Source organism: Homo sapiens, chromosome 12 (assembly GCF_000001405.40).
Source record: "Homo sapiens chromosome 12, GRCh38.p14 Primary Assembly".
NCBI lineage: Eukaryota > Metazoa > Chordata > Mammalia > Primates > Hominidae > Homo > Homo sapiens.
In genome coordinates, this window is record NC_000012.12 from 31626275 (window position 1) to 31640051 (window position 13777).

At 46.3% G+C, this 13777-nt stretch overlaps 1 long non-coding RNA gene across 1 annotated transcript in view; it reads right to left on the bottom strand.

The window, feature by feature from the left end:
• The window catches only part of LOC124902913 (uncharacterized), a 25784-nt gene continuing 12007 nt past the window's right edge, over nt 1-13777 (bottom strand). The window contains exon 2 of the long non-coding RNA XR_007063269.1: nt 1-1452. This is a non-coding gene — a long non-coding RNA (uncharacterized LOC124902913). The remainder of the gene's footprint in view (nt 1453-13777) is intronic.

The following is a 13777-nucleotide window of genomic DNA, read 5'->3' on the forward strand; positions in this document are numbered from 1 at the left end:
TAATTTATAAAAGAAGTTTAATTGACTCACAGTTCTACATGACTAGGGAGGCCTCACAATCATGGCAGAAGGTGAATGAAGAGCAAAGTCAAGTCTTACACGGCAGCAGGCAAGAGAGTATGCCCAGGGGAACTCCCCTTTATAAAACCATCAGATCTTGTGAGACTTACTCACCACCACAAGAACAGTATGGGGGAAACCACCCCCATGGTTCAAGTATCTTCACCTGGCTCCACCCTTGACACGTGGGGCTTATTACAACTCGAGGTGAGATCTGGGTGGGACACACCATATCACGTGGCCACACCATATCACATGGCTTTGGAACCCTTCAGGGTACTGGGTGCATGGATATGTGTAATGTTTTATTGCTTCTCTTTTGAGGTGCCACAAAATACCCTTCTCTGCTTGGAGACGCAGGCTCCAGGAAAAGGAAGGAGACCAACAGATGAGAAGTGACTTCTTTTCTTCCACTTCTAGGAAAATACATAATTAGAACCTTCCAAGATGTAAGGAAAAAGGGCCAGATTTAGATTTCCAAATGTGGAGTGACAAGTATTTTACAAAATGAGGGAGTTGGATTAGATAACTCACTAAAGGCCCTCCTAGTTATCGAAGGATTCTATTATTCACATCCTTTCTTTTAGAACAGCAGTGTTTGTTTTGGTTTCAATAAGGGGAGAGGGCATGGGCTCCTGAAGTGGCAGGGAGGAGGGGAAGAGATGGAGCAGCGCAGGCAGGGGCAAGCGGGGACTGTGAGACAAATAACACCCATTTCCCAGTTTTAGTTGTCAGGCGGCTGCTCTTCACTCCCCACTTGGATTTTGAGCATTTTCACAAATCTTCAGAATTAGTTCAAATCATCAACTCGTACTTGGTAGCTTTATTCCCTTGGCTCTTGAAAGGGAAAGTAAATCAAAGCTTGTCTGCCCAGAACCTGGCAGGAGCATTTAATAAAGATGTTCAGCTTGGCGCAGTGGCTCATGCCTGTAATCCCAGCACTTTGGGAGGCCGAGGCGGGCGGATCACTTGAGGTCAGGAGTTTCAGACCAGCCTGACCAACATGGTGAAACCCCATCTCTACTAAAACTACAAAAATTAGCCGGGCATGGTGGCGGGCACGTGTAATCCCAGCTACTCAGGAGGCTGAGGCAAGAGAATTGCATGAACCTGGGAGGTGGAGGTTGCAGTGAGCCCAGATCATGCCACTGCACTCCAGCCTGGGTGACAAGAGGGAGACTGTCTCAAAAAAAAAAAAAAAAAAAAAAAAAGATGGTCATGGTCATCCCAGGGTGGGGGCAGGCTTGAGGACTCTGCGGTGGTCTCTCAGGATCTACTCCAGATCCAGGCTGGCTTCCAGAAATACTGCAAGTGGTAAGAATGCCAAGATTTCCCAGCTCTGTTGCAGAATGAATTAGTGGCCCTCAAGTGAAGTCACTGCAGAACAAAAGGCTATAAAAAGAGAGAAAAGAATGAGGGGGAGATGTTATAGGTGCAAACTGGCATGGAAAGCCCTGCAACGCAAGCAAGCAAGATGTTTGAATTCTCCCAAGAGAGGCAGACAAAGCAACACAGGAAAACATTTAGACATCCATGAAGGCAGAGAGAATCCTGAAGCGGAAGTCTGTCAGTGAGCAGCATTTCAGTGCTGAGCCAAAGACAGGGAATTGGCCAAAGCACCAGGAAAGAGAGCTGCAGGCCCTCAGTAGCTGGTCAACCAATATGGGTTGAAACGAAGTCTGGTTTCAGCATTTGTGCTGATGTTGCCTCATTTTACGTTTTTTAGTTTTTGTTTTGAGACAGAGTTTTGCTCTTGTGGCCCAGGCTGGAGTGCAATGGTGCAATCTCAGCTCACTGCAACCTCCACACTGCCCCGCCGCCAGGTTCAAGTGATTCTCCTGCCTCAGCCTCCCTAGTAGCTGGGATTATAGACACGCACCACCATGCCCGGCTAATTTTGTATTTTTAGTAGAGACGGGGTTTTACCACGTTGGCCAGGCTGGTCTTGAACTCCTGACCTCAGGTGATCCAGCCGCCTCGGCCTCCCAAAGTGCTAGGATTACAGGTATGAGCCACCGCGCCTGGCCCATTTTACATTTTATTTCTCATTGATCACTTGCAGGTCAGAGAGTCACACAAGCTACAGTCCCAAGCACCTATGTTCTAAACGGTGCAGCTTGGCAAGGGAGTCACAAATAAACATGCCCCTTTCCCCAGTTTCCTCTTCCAAATAGTCCTGACCCTCTATGTAAGGACCCAGAAGTGCCTCAAGTCGTGTTAAAGCCTACATTTCACTCTTTTATCTGAAATACAATTTGAGAAATAGGAAATGCATGATTTGTAACCTGACAAAGTTGAATTTTACCTGAGCCTTGTGGGCCTGGTGAACAGTGAAGGTTAAGAAATCCCCCACCCAGATCACAAGGTCGGGAGATCAAGACCATCCTGGCTAACACAGTGAAAACCCGTCTCTACTAACAATACAAAAAAAAATTAGCCGGGCGTGGTGGCGGGAACCTGTAGTCCCAGCTACTCGGGAGGCTGAGGCAGGAGAATGGCGTGAACCCGGGAGGCGGAGCTTGCAGCGAGCCGAGATCGCGCCACTGCACTCCAGCCTGGGTGACAGAGCGAGACTCCATCTCAAAAAAAAAAAAAAGAAAAATCCCCTACCCGGGCTGGGCATGGTGGCTCACGCCTGTAATCCCAGCACTTTGGGAGGCCGAGGTGAGAGGATCACCTGAGGTCAGGAGTTCGAGACCAGCCATGACCAACATGGTGAAACCCTGTCTCTACTAAAAATACAAAAAAAATTAGCCGTTGTGGTGGCAGGCACCTGTAGTCCCAGCTACTCAGGATACTGAGACAGAAGAATCGTTGGAACCCAGAAGGCGGAGGTTGCAGTGAGCCGAGATCAGGCCACTGCACTCTAGCCTGGCAACAGAGCAAGACTCAGTCTCAAAAAAAAAAAAAAAAAAAGAAAAAGAAAGAAAGAAAGAAAGAAAGAAAGAAAGAAAGAAAGAAAGAAAATCCCCCACCCTTCATGTTCTGCAAAAGGGCTTACTGCAAAGACCACCCCCCAACCCTTCCACATGTCACTTCAGTAAGACTCACAGATGCTCTTCTTCTTTACCTATGTTAAGACCAGACACAGACCCTCAAAATTTCCTTTCTTTGCCTCACAGATGATTAGCTGAACTGCTTGTCCTCACTGAAGAACTAGAGCAAAATACATGTTACCCAAACTTTGGTTAGGCTTCTCTCCTTCCTCAGAGCCTCAGAACTTTGTTTACCCTTGGCCTGAGCCCCTTCAGAGAACAGGGTGGCTTCAGGGCCAAACATTCCAATTTGCTCGATTTGTTACTCTTTCATCTGCTTCCCACATCTGGTTCATCCTAGCCTTGTTTCCTCCTACCATAGAGAAACCCTTTGCAACCTTTGAGATGTTTACAGACCTTCCAGTCCCAGCATTCCCCTCCCTCCATTGCAGGAGTACCCCCGCAATGCCCTGGCAATAATTCCTTCGAATGAAGGTCTCTCTTTTACCACATCCAGAATTTTTTTTATTTGACAAACCAGAAATGGAAGACAACCCATCAGCTCGTCTTCTGAGCTCCTTCTAGCGCCAGGAATTCCATAGAAACCGCATATTGTTTGATTCCTCAGCCCCCGGATGGGTTGCCAGAGTGCAGTGGGACTTGCCAAGAGAATGTGACCTCTGACAAACAATGATATGGGTAGAGAGCCTAAGTTAAATGCTTATCATGTGCTAGGTACTATTTTATGTGTTTTATGTTTGTTATCACATTTAATTTTCCCAATTTCCATAAGAGGAAAGTATTATTTTTAGCCCTGTCTTATAAGACAGGAAACAGAGGCTCTCAGTTAAATTAGTCAAGGTCACACAGCCAGTGAGTGACAGAGCTGGGACGCAAATGCAGGTCAGTCTGAGGCCATGGTTGGGCTTGTAATCACCATGCTATGGGCTTTCCTAAGAGGCGGCTTCTTGGAAATGCTCCTTTCGGTGTCTGGTATCTCTGGATAGAAGCGTGTGAAAAAGAAACTGTCAGCTGGGAATTAGCCAAGCACAACAGCCAGAGTATGGTGTCCACCTGCCGAACACTGAGGGAAACCAAAATATTTCTCCCCAAAATATTGAGGATTGTTAGTTGAAGACACTAAACCGCAGGGGACCGCTGTGCCTCAGCCTCTGTGTGCCTGATGGCGGGGCATAAATCCTTCCTTATTGGAGACAGCACTTGCTTTTTGGCCCAGAGAAGGCACCAGCAGGCACCAGCGGAAACTGGGAACAGATTTTACTCTCTTCCCACATGTATTAGTCAGGATTCTCTTAGAGGGACAGAACTAATAGGAAAGAGATAGATAGATAGATAGATAGATAGATAGATAGATAGATAGATAGATAGATAGATGCATACATACATACATACATACGTAGATAGATACATAGATACATGGATAGATAGAGATAAAGGGAAGTTTATTAAGTATTAAGTTACACAGTCACAAACTCCCACAATAGGCTGTCTGCAAGCTGAGGAGCAAGGAGAGCCAGTCCAAGTCCCAAAAATGAAGAACTTGGAGTCTGATGTTCAAAGGCAGGAAGCATCCAGCACGGAAGAAAGATGTAGGCTGGGAGGCCAGGCCTGTCACACCTCTTCATGGTTTCTGCCTGCTTTATATTCATTGGCAGCTGATTAGATTGTGCCCACTAGATTAAGGGTGGATCTGCCTTCCCCAGCCCAGACTCAAATGTTAATCTCTTTTGGCAACACCTACACGGACACACCCAGGATCAATACTTTGTATCCTTCAATCCAAGCAAGTTGACACTCAGTATTAACCATCACACCATATTTTTCCGCCTTTGAAAAGACTGGAACTGCTCTCTCTTTCATCTTGTCACTATGTAGGATTTATGGCTCTTTGTTAAACTATGATTTAAGCAAAGCCCCTAAGCCACTGCCTTGAGAGAGAAATACTTTTGAACTGAGGCCTCTCCCGTGTGATGGGTACTGCATGCATTAATAAATTTCTGCTTTTTTTTTTTTTTTGTTAATCTAACTTTTGTTTTCAGGAGAGTATCTCAACTAAAAACCTAAAAAAGAAAAGGAAAAAATATGTTTTCTCCCCCACAATGTGCACCTGCCAAACAGACCATTTCACAGCAAAGCAATGCGTAACACAATGGAGTGAAACAAAGAAGAGACCAGTGTGTAATCATGCCCATGCCCTCAGCACAGACAGAAACAAGTGCACGTACTGTGTAAACTACAGAAGCGACCAAACACCTCCCTTTCCTGGCTACTATAAGCAGCTGAGGCTTCTTTATCAATGAGGTTTTGAGTGGGGCTTGGTTCCTGCCACTTTCTAAATAAAAATCATTAAGATACTCAATCACCAAATTGCCCACACTATCTGACTGCACCCAGTCCAGAGCAGGCCTCGCTCGGCTCAGCCCTTCCCCAAGTCATCTAACATAAACTCAAATCCTACTATAAGCCCCTCCTAATGGCCTCTTACCTAGACCACACTTCCCTAGGGTGTGTAAACCCAAATCATAAAGCTGACTCTCGCTGCAGATGAACTAAGGGACTGGTGAGCTTCAACACAAGCTTGGCCCCATCTGCGCACCTGAACGCAATGCTTTCCCATGCGTCTCCCCGTGGATACATCCCGTAATGGAGGGTGCTCTGACTTCAGCTGGTTCGGGAAAGGCCACTCCTGGGATTGCTTCCTCTTTTCTGCCCAGCATTTCTTCTTCTTCTTTTTTTTTTTTTTTTTGAGACGGAGCCTCACTCTGTCGCCCACACTGGAGTGCAGTGGCGCCATCTCAGCTCACTGCAACCTCTGCCTCCCGGGTTCAAGATTCTCCTACCTCAGCCTCCCGAGTAGCTGGGACTACAGGCATGTGCCACCACGCCCGGCTAGTTTTTTGTATTTAGTAGACATGGGGTTTCACCATGTTGGTCAGGCTGGTCTCAAACTCCTGACCTCAGGTGATCCACCTGCCTCGGCCTCCCAAACTGCTGAGATTATAGGTGTGAGCCACCACACCCAGCCTTCTTTCTTCTTTACTCTCCCAACTCCTCCACTGCAACTCCCATTCTACAGAGAAGGCATTATCTCCTTTGGGCTAATGTTTTACCATACTGAAAAGACCTCTCTAAGTTAGTCCTCTTCACCTCAGTTTCCCAGCTGGGAAAGCTCAAGCCCAGGCATTGTAGGTCCCTGTGGCTTTACGTACACCTGAAAGTGGCAGGGACGGGTCAGCAGAGACCCTGATCCTACCATTAGGTTCTGAATGGGAAAAGGAACTACAGAAGCATCTCCACCAAAGCTCTTCTTGCCAAAGTTTACTTCTGTATTGTTTAGGCCTTGGAGGTAAAGGATAAAATTGTCCAGACAGCTAATTATTTTCTTCAGGTGGCTGAGGTAGGAGGATAGCTTGAGTCCAGGAAGTCGAGGCTGCCATGAGCTATGATTGCACCACTGCCCTCCAGCCTGGGAGACAAAGCAAGACTCTTTCTCTAAAAAAAGAGGTAAAAAAAAAAAAAGGAACGAGATTGTGTCCTTTGCAGGGACATGGATGGAGTTGGAAGCTGTTATCCTCAGCAAACTAACACAGGAACAGAAAACCAAACACCGTATATTCTCGATTATAAGCGAGAGCTGTACGATGAGAACACATGGACACATGGGGGAAACAACACACTGGGGCCTGTCGGGGGATGGGAGGAGGGAGCGCATCAGGGAGAATAGCTAATGGATGCTGGGCTTCATACCTAGGTGATGGGATGATCTGTGCAGGAAAGCAACATGGCACACATTTACCTATGTAACAAACCTGCACATCCTGCACATGTACCCCAGAACTTTAAAGTCGAAAAAAAAGAGGCCGGGCGTGGCTGTTCAGACCTGTAATCCTAGCACTTTGGGAGGCCAAGGAGGGCAGATCACTTGAGGTCAGGAGTTTGAGACCAGCCTGGCCAGCATGGTGAAACCCCATCTCTATTAAAAACACGAAAATTAGCCAGGCATGGTGGCAGGCGCCTGTAATCCCAGCTACTCAGGAGGCTGAGGTAGGAGAATTGCTTGAACCTGGGAGGTGGAGGCTGCAGTGAGCCAAGATCGTGCCACTGCACTCCAGCCTGGGCAACAGAGCAAAATTCCATCTCAAAACAAAATCAAAAACACATACCATCACACCGGAGATTAGGGCTTCAACAGAGAAATTTTGAAGGAACACAATTCAGTCCATAGCAAGTAGTACAGTGGTTTTTAAAAATTTTTATTTTTAATTCAAATGTAATAATTGTACATATTTATAGGGTACAATGTGATGTTTTGATACATGTATATATTGCGTAATGACAAAATCAGGGTAACTAGTACACTCACCACCTCAAAGATTAATTTTTTTTTGTGGTGGGAACATACAAAATCCTCTCCTCTAGCTATTTTGAGATATACAATACCTTATTGTTGGCTACAGCCACCCTACTGTGCAATGGGATGCGAGAATTTATTCTTCCTTGTTAATTTTAACTTTAAAAGTTTATTTTTGGCCGGGCACGGTGGCTCACGCCTGTAATCCCAGCACTTTGGGAGGCCAAGGCAGGTGGATCACCTGAGATCAGGAGTTCGAGAACAGCCTGGCCAACATGGTGAAACTCCGTCTCTATTAAAAATACAAAAAAATTAGTCAGGCATGGTGGCAGGCACCTGTAATCCCAGCTACTTGGGAGGCTGAGGCATGAGAATTGCTTGAACCTGGGCGGCAGAGTTTGGCAGTGAGCCGAGATCACGCCACTGCACTGCAGCCTTCACGACAGAGCGAGACTCTGTCTCAATAAAAAGAAAACAAAAAGTTTATTTTTGTTGTAACATTCTTTTATTATTTCTAGAGGCATGTAACAATGTGCTATGTAACAATTCAAGACTGTGGCCCAGATGAAATAATGATAGCAGCACATATCTGGAACTTCTTTGGTCACATGAATGCATAATAAATATATGAAGTGGAAACTCAATTCTACGTAGTATGACTACAGCAGACTAAAGACAATAATCAGGCCGGGTGTGGTGGCTCACACCTGTAATCCCAGCACTTCAGCACTTTAGGAGGCCAAGACCAGCAGATTGCTTGAGCTCAGGAGTTCCAGACCAGCCTGGGCAACATGGCAAAACCCCATCTCTACAAAAAATACAAAAATTAGCTAGGCATGCTGATGTGCGCCTATAATGCCAGTTACTTTGGAGGCTGAAGTGGGAGGGAGGTGGAGACCATAGGGAGCAGAGATCACGCCACTACACTCCAGCTTGGGTGACAGAGTGAGACCATGTCTCAAAAAAAAAAAAAATGCAATGACCACCAAAAACTACTCTCTGCAGTAACATGGCAATGAAAATAGATGCCATTGTTATGTACTTTAACTTCTACTATGATTATTTGACATGAGATTCCTTTCCTTTGCTTTCCTTTTTTTTTCTTTTTCCTTTTCCTTTCCTTTCTTTTCCTTTCTTTTTTTGGAGACAGGGTGGGTCTCACTCTGTTGCCCAGGCTGGAGTGCAATGGTGCAATCTTAGCTCACTGCAACCTCTGCCTTCCTGGCTCAAATGATCCTCTTGTGCCTCCCGAGTAGCTGGGACTACAGGTGCCCACTACCATGTTCAGTGATTTTTTTTTTCCTGCAGTTTTTGTAGACAGGGTTTCATAATGTTCCCCATGCTGGAGATTTCTTTCTTTCTTTTTTTGAAAAACAAAAAACAAAAAAACAAAGTCTTGCTGTCGCCTAGGCTGGAGTGCAACGGCACAATCTTGGCTCACTTCAACCTCTGCCTCCCAGGTTCAAGCGATTCTCCTGCCTCAGCCTCCCGAGTAGCTGGGATTACAGGCTTCGTGCCACCCCGCCTGGCTGATTTTTGTATTTTTAGTAGAGATGGGGCTTCACCATGTTGGCCAGGCTGGTCTCAAACTCCTAACCTCAGGTGATCCACCCACCTCGGCCTCCCAAAGTGCTGGGATTACAGGCATGAGCCACCATGCCCAGCCTTTTAAATTTATTTTAAAAATAAACGTATTTCTTACAGTTCTGGAGGTTTGAAAGTCCACAGCTGTTGGGCTGCATCTGGTGAGGGCCTTCTTACCGCAGCATAACATGACAGAGAGCATGACAGGGCAAGAGGCCATTTTCTTGTCTGAGAGTTTGATTTAGTCTAGAATCTGACCCCATCTTGACATAAACACCACTGGCTCAGATAAATATTAAGTGCAACAGTTTACCTAATTTAGTTATTTATTTGTATTCTTTTATTTTTATTTTATTTATTGAGAGGGGTTTTGTCATGTTGCCCATGCTGGTCTTGAACTCCTGGACTCAAGCGATCCTCTCACTTTGGCCTCCCAAAGTGCTGCGATCATAGGCTTGAACTACCGCGTCCAGCTAGTTTATCTAATTTAAAGACATCAAAATCTAAAGTCAGATTCTTACTTAGATTTGGTGTTTCAGATTTCAAAGAGATGAGATGTCACCAGATAAAAACTACTAGGTGGTAACCAGGCGTGGTGGCTCACGCCGTAATCCCAGCACTTTGGGAGGCTGAGGCGGGCGGATCACGAGGTCAGGAGTTCAAGACCAGCCTGGCCAACATGGTGAAACCCCGTCTGTACTAAAAATACAAAAAAAATAGCTGGGCATGGTGGCAGGCACCTGTAATCCCAGCTACTCGGGAGGCTGAGGCAGGAGAATCATTTGAACCCAGTAGGTAGAGATTGTAGTCAGACGAGATCTCACCATTGCACCCCAGCCTGGGCGACAGGGTGAGACTCTATCTCAAAAAAAAAAAAAACAAAAAACGACCAGGTGGCTCACGCCTGTAATCCCAGCACTTCGAGAGGCCAAGGTGGACCGATTGCTTGAGCTCAGAAGTTCAAGATCAGCCTGGGCTACATAGTGAAACCCTGTCTCTAAAACAAACAAACAAACAAACAAACAAAAAACAAACAAACAAAGCTTAGCTGGGCGTGATGGCGCATGCCTTTAGCCCCAGCTACTCAAGAGGCTGAGGAGGGAGGATCACTTGAGCCTGGGAGGCAGAGGCTGCAGTGAGCTATGATCGTGCCACTGTACCCCAGCCTGGGTGAGAGAGTCCCTATCTCAAAAAAATAAAACCAAAAAACTACTGGGGCCACGTCAGAACTGAAAGAGTTCTGCAGGCCCTTCAGAGAAAGGAGAAGTGAGAGTCAATTAACCTCAAGATTACATTTAAAAGCATTTTCCTCTTTAGTATAGAGGTGTGTTAAAAAAAAAAAAAGCATTTATACGAGGTATGTGAGGTATGTTAGTGAAACAGCAAAAACCTAATTATATCCTAAATAACTGGCACGCTCTAGGTTACAAATAGCAATTTGTAAAAGACCCATTGAATGAACACATTAAACAGCAGGTTGCTTATTCCTTCTCAAACCGCACTAAAAAATTCCTCTCTCGCATGTGTAGGTCCCAGAGCCAGACAGTTATGAGATGATGGTGCCCCCTGGTGGCCAATGTGGGGAGCCACCCGGCCAGGCGTGCTTCCTGGCTTTGTGCCAGCCATGCCTTTATTCTTTGGTTGGTTGGTTGGTTGGTTGGTTAGTTGGTTGGTTGGTTGGCTGGTTGAGACAGAGTCTTGCTCTGTCGCCCAGGCTGGAGTGCAGTGGCGATTTCGGCTCACTGCAACCTCCGTCTCCGAGGTTCAAGCAATTCTCCTGCCTCAGCCTCCGGAGTAGGTAGGACTACAGGCGCCCACCATCAAGCCCGGCTAATTTTTGTATTTTTGGTAGAGACGAGGTTTCACCATATTGGCCAGGCTGGTCTTGAACTCCAGACTTCAAGTGATCCACCCGCCTCTGCCTCCCAAAGTGCTGGGATTACAGGCATGGGCCACCGTGCCCGGCCAGACCATGCCTTTACTTTTGCACATATGCACAGTATTTCTGAAAATCAAGTGAAAAAGTTGGATTTATATACTCTATGTGAGTTTACATGTTATGGGGATTTCCATTTCCAGAGAATTAAAATGGATAATCAAATGTTTAATTTCATTTCACAATTTTCAAATATTTCTTTCCTTCCCTCCCTCCTTCCTCTCTTTCTTTTTTCTTTCTCTTTCTTTCTTTCTTTCTTCTCTTCCTTTTTTTTTTTTCTTAGACAGAGTCTCACTCTGTCGCCCCAGCTGGAGCTCAGTGGTGCAATCTCGGCTCACTGCAACCTCTGCCTCTCAGGTTCAAGTGATTCTCCTGCCTCAGCCTCCTGAATAGCTGGGACTACAGGCCTGTGCCACCATGCCCAGCTAATTTTTGTATTTTTAGTAGAGACAGGGTTTCACTATGTTGGCCAGGCTGGTCTTGAACTTCTGACCTCAGGTGATCCACCCATCTCAGCCTCCCAGAGTGCTAGGATTACAGGCGTGAGCCACTGTGCCGGGGCAGCAGGCCTTTCTTGACTGCAGATTTTCTAATACATGAAAACAGCCACCAATTGCAAAAATATATTAATTTTCGACAGGTACAAAAGGCACTTTGTGAATATCAGTATGCAGTTGGGTACACTTATCCGGAATTAAACCTGTCTCTCCTGGAGCTACATGCCACAGGCATCTCACACAGGGGCCGCTGTTCTGGAACACTCCTGTGAGCCAATAAAGGATCAACAGCTTCTCTTCAGGCCAGGCGCAGTGGCTCACACCTGTAATCCCAGCACTTTGGGAGGCCGAAGGGGGCGGATCACCTGAGGTTAGGAATTAGAGACCAACCTGGCCAACATGGTGAAACCCTGTCTCTACTAAAAATACAAAAATTAGCCAGGTGTGGTGGCGGGCGCCTGTAATCCCAGCTACTCAGGAAGCTGAGGCAGGAGAATCACTTGAACCTGGGAGGCGGAGGTTGCAGTGAGCTGAGATCGCACCACTGCACTCCAGCCTAGGAAACAGGAGTGAGACTCCATCTTAAAAAAAAAAAAAAAAAAAAAAAGCTTCTTTTCAAGAAAAAGCCATCCAGTGAATGGGTACCACTCACAAAATGAAGTTACTGTTTTTTTTTTTGTTTTTCGTTTTTTGAGACGGAGTCTCTCTCTGTCGCCGAGGCTGGAGTGCAGCGGCGCAATCTTAGCTCACTGCAAGCTCCGCCTCCCGGGTTCACGCCATTCTCCTGCCTCAGTCTCCCGAGTAGCTGGGACTACAGGCGCCTGCCACCACACCCGGCTAATTTTTTTTTTTTTTTTTTTTGTATTTTTAGTAGAGACGGGGTTTCACCATGTTAGCCAGGATGGTCTCGATCTGCTGACCTCGTGATCTGCCCGTCTCGGCCTCCCAAAGTGCTGGGATTACAGGCGTGAGCCACCACGCCCGGCCTTAATATTAAGCTTGTTTTGCTATAGAGTTGAAACTAATTTGTTTGCAGATTGGGCACAAACTCTCTCCCCCTGCAAAACCAAATTGTTCGGTAAGCCATGAGTTACCTCTTTCATCGACCTCAGGCTTATTTTGGCATATTCAATAGGCTGATTTAAGCCTTTGGAGCCACTTCTATAAGTAGTCTGTAAGAAATAACACACCTTAGCTGGGCGCGGTGGCTCATGCCTGTAATCCCAGCACTTTGAGAGGCTGAGGCAGGCGGATCATGAGGCCAGGCGTTTGAGACCAGCCTTACCAACATGAGGAAACCCCGTCTCTACTAAAAATACAAAAATTAGCCGGGCGTGATGGCACGTGCCTGTAATCCCAGCTACTCGGAATGCTGAGGCAGGAGAATCCCTTGAACCCGGGAGGTGGAATTTGAAGTGAGCCGAGATTACGCGCCACTGCACCCCAGTCTGGGGGACAGAGACAGACTCCGTCTCCAAAAAAAAAAAACCACACACACAAAAAAGAAATGAGTATCTTCCTTCTCCAATGCACCAAAGGGATACCAGTCACTATTCCTTTTCTTTCTACACTGAAGCTAAGAAATGCCTTTTTCAGTTAATCCACAAACAAATGATTAACATCCCTACTTTTTTTTTTTTTTTGAGATGGAGTTTCGCTCTTGTTGCCCAGGCTGGAGTACAGTGGCGTGATCTCGGCTCACTGCAACCTCTGCCTCCCCGGTTCAAGTGATTCTCCTGCCTCAGCCTCCTGAGTAGCTGGGATTACAGGCATGTGCCACCACGCCTGGGTAATTTTGTATTTTTAGTAGAGACGGGGTTTCTCCATGTTGGTCCGGCTTGTCTCAAACTCCCGACCTCAGGTGATCCACCTGCCTTGGCCTCCCAATAACATCCCTACTTTAGGCTACACCATATATAATGAGTTTAGTTGGTTAATGGCTACCCAAATTCAAGTAGTAAGCAAAGTACCTTTATGCCTTGAGAGGCATGAAAACAGCAGCCTCCAGGCTGAAATATATAACATGGATGGCTGCCACCCAACCAACGCAATCAAACCCTCCCCTTAACTGATCAGATGTGGATAGGACAGCAAAATACATCTCTAAGATTGGGTGCCCATTCCTCTCCTTGGGGATGGTTATGAGCATGTGAGTCTCACAGTTGACCATATCCACCTTACAGTTGGACTGGACAATACACTTGAGACTGTCCTTATCTCCCAGGTGTCCTTACACATCTAGATTCCCTCCCCACCAATTGGGAAACAGTGACAGCCCGTCATAGACAGAAAAAGTGGGCTTCTTGGTGATTTTATTCTATGGCTGTCTTCTCTCCTCAAGCAGTGGCTATAG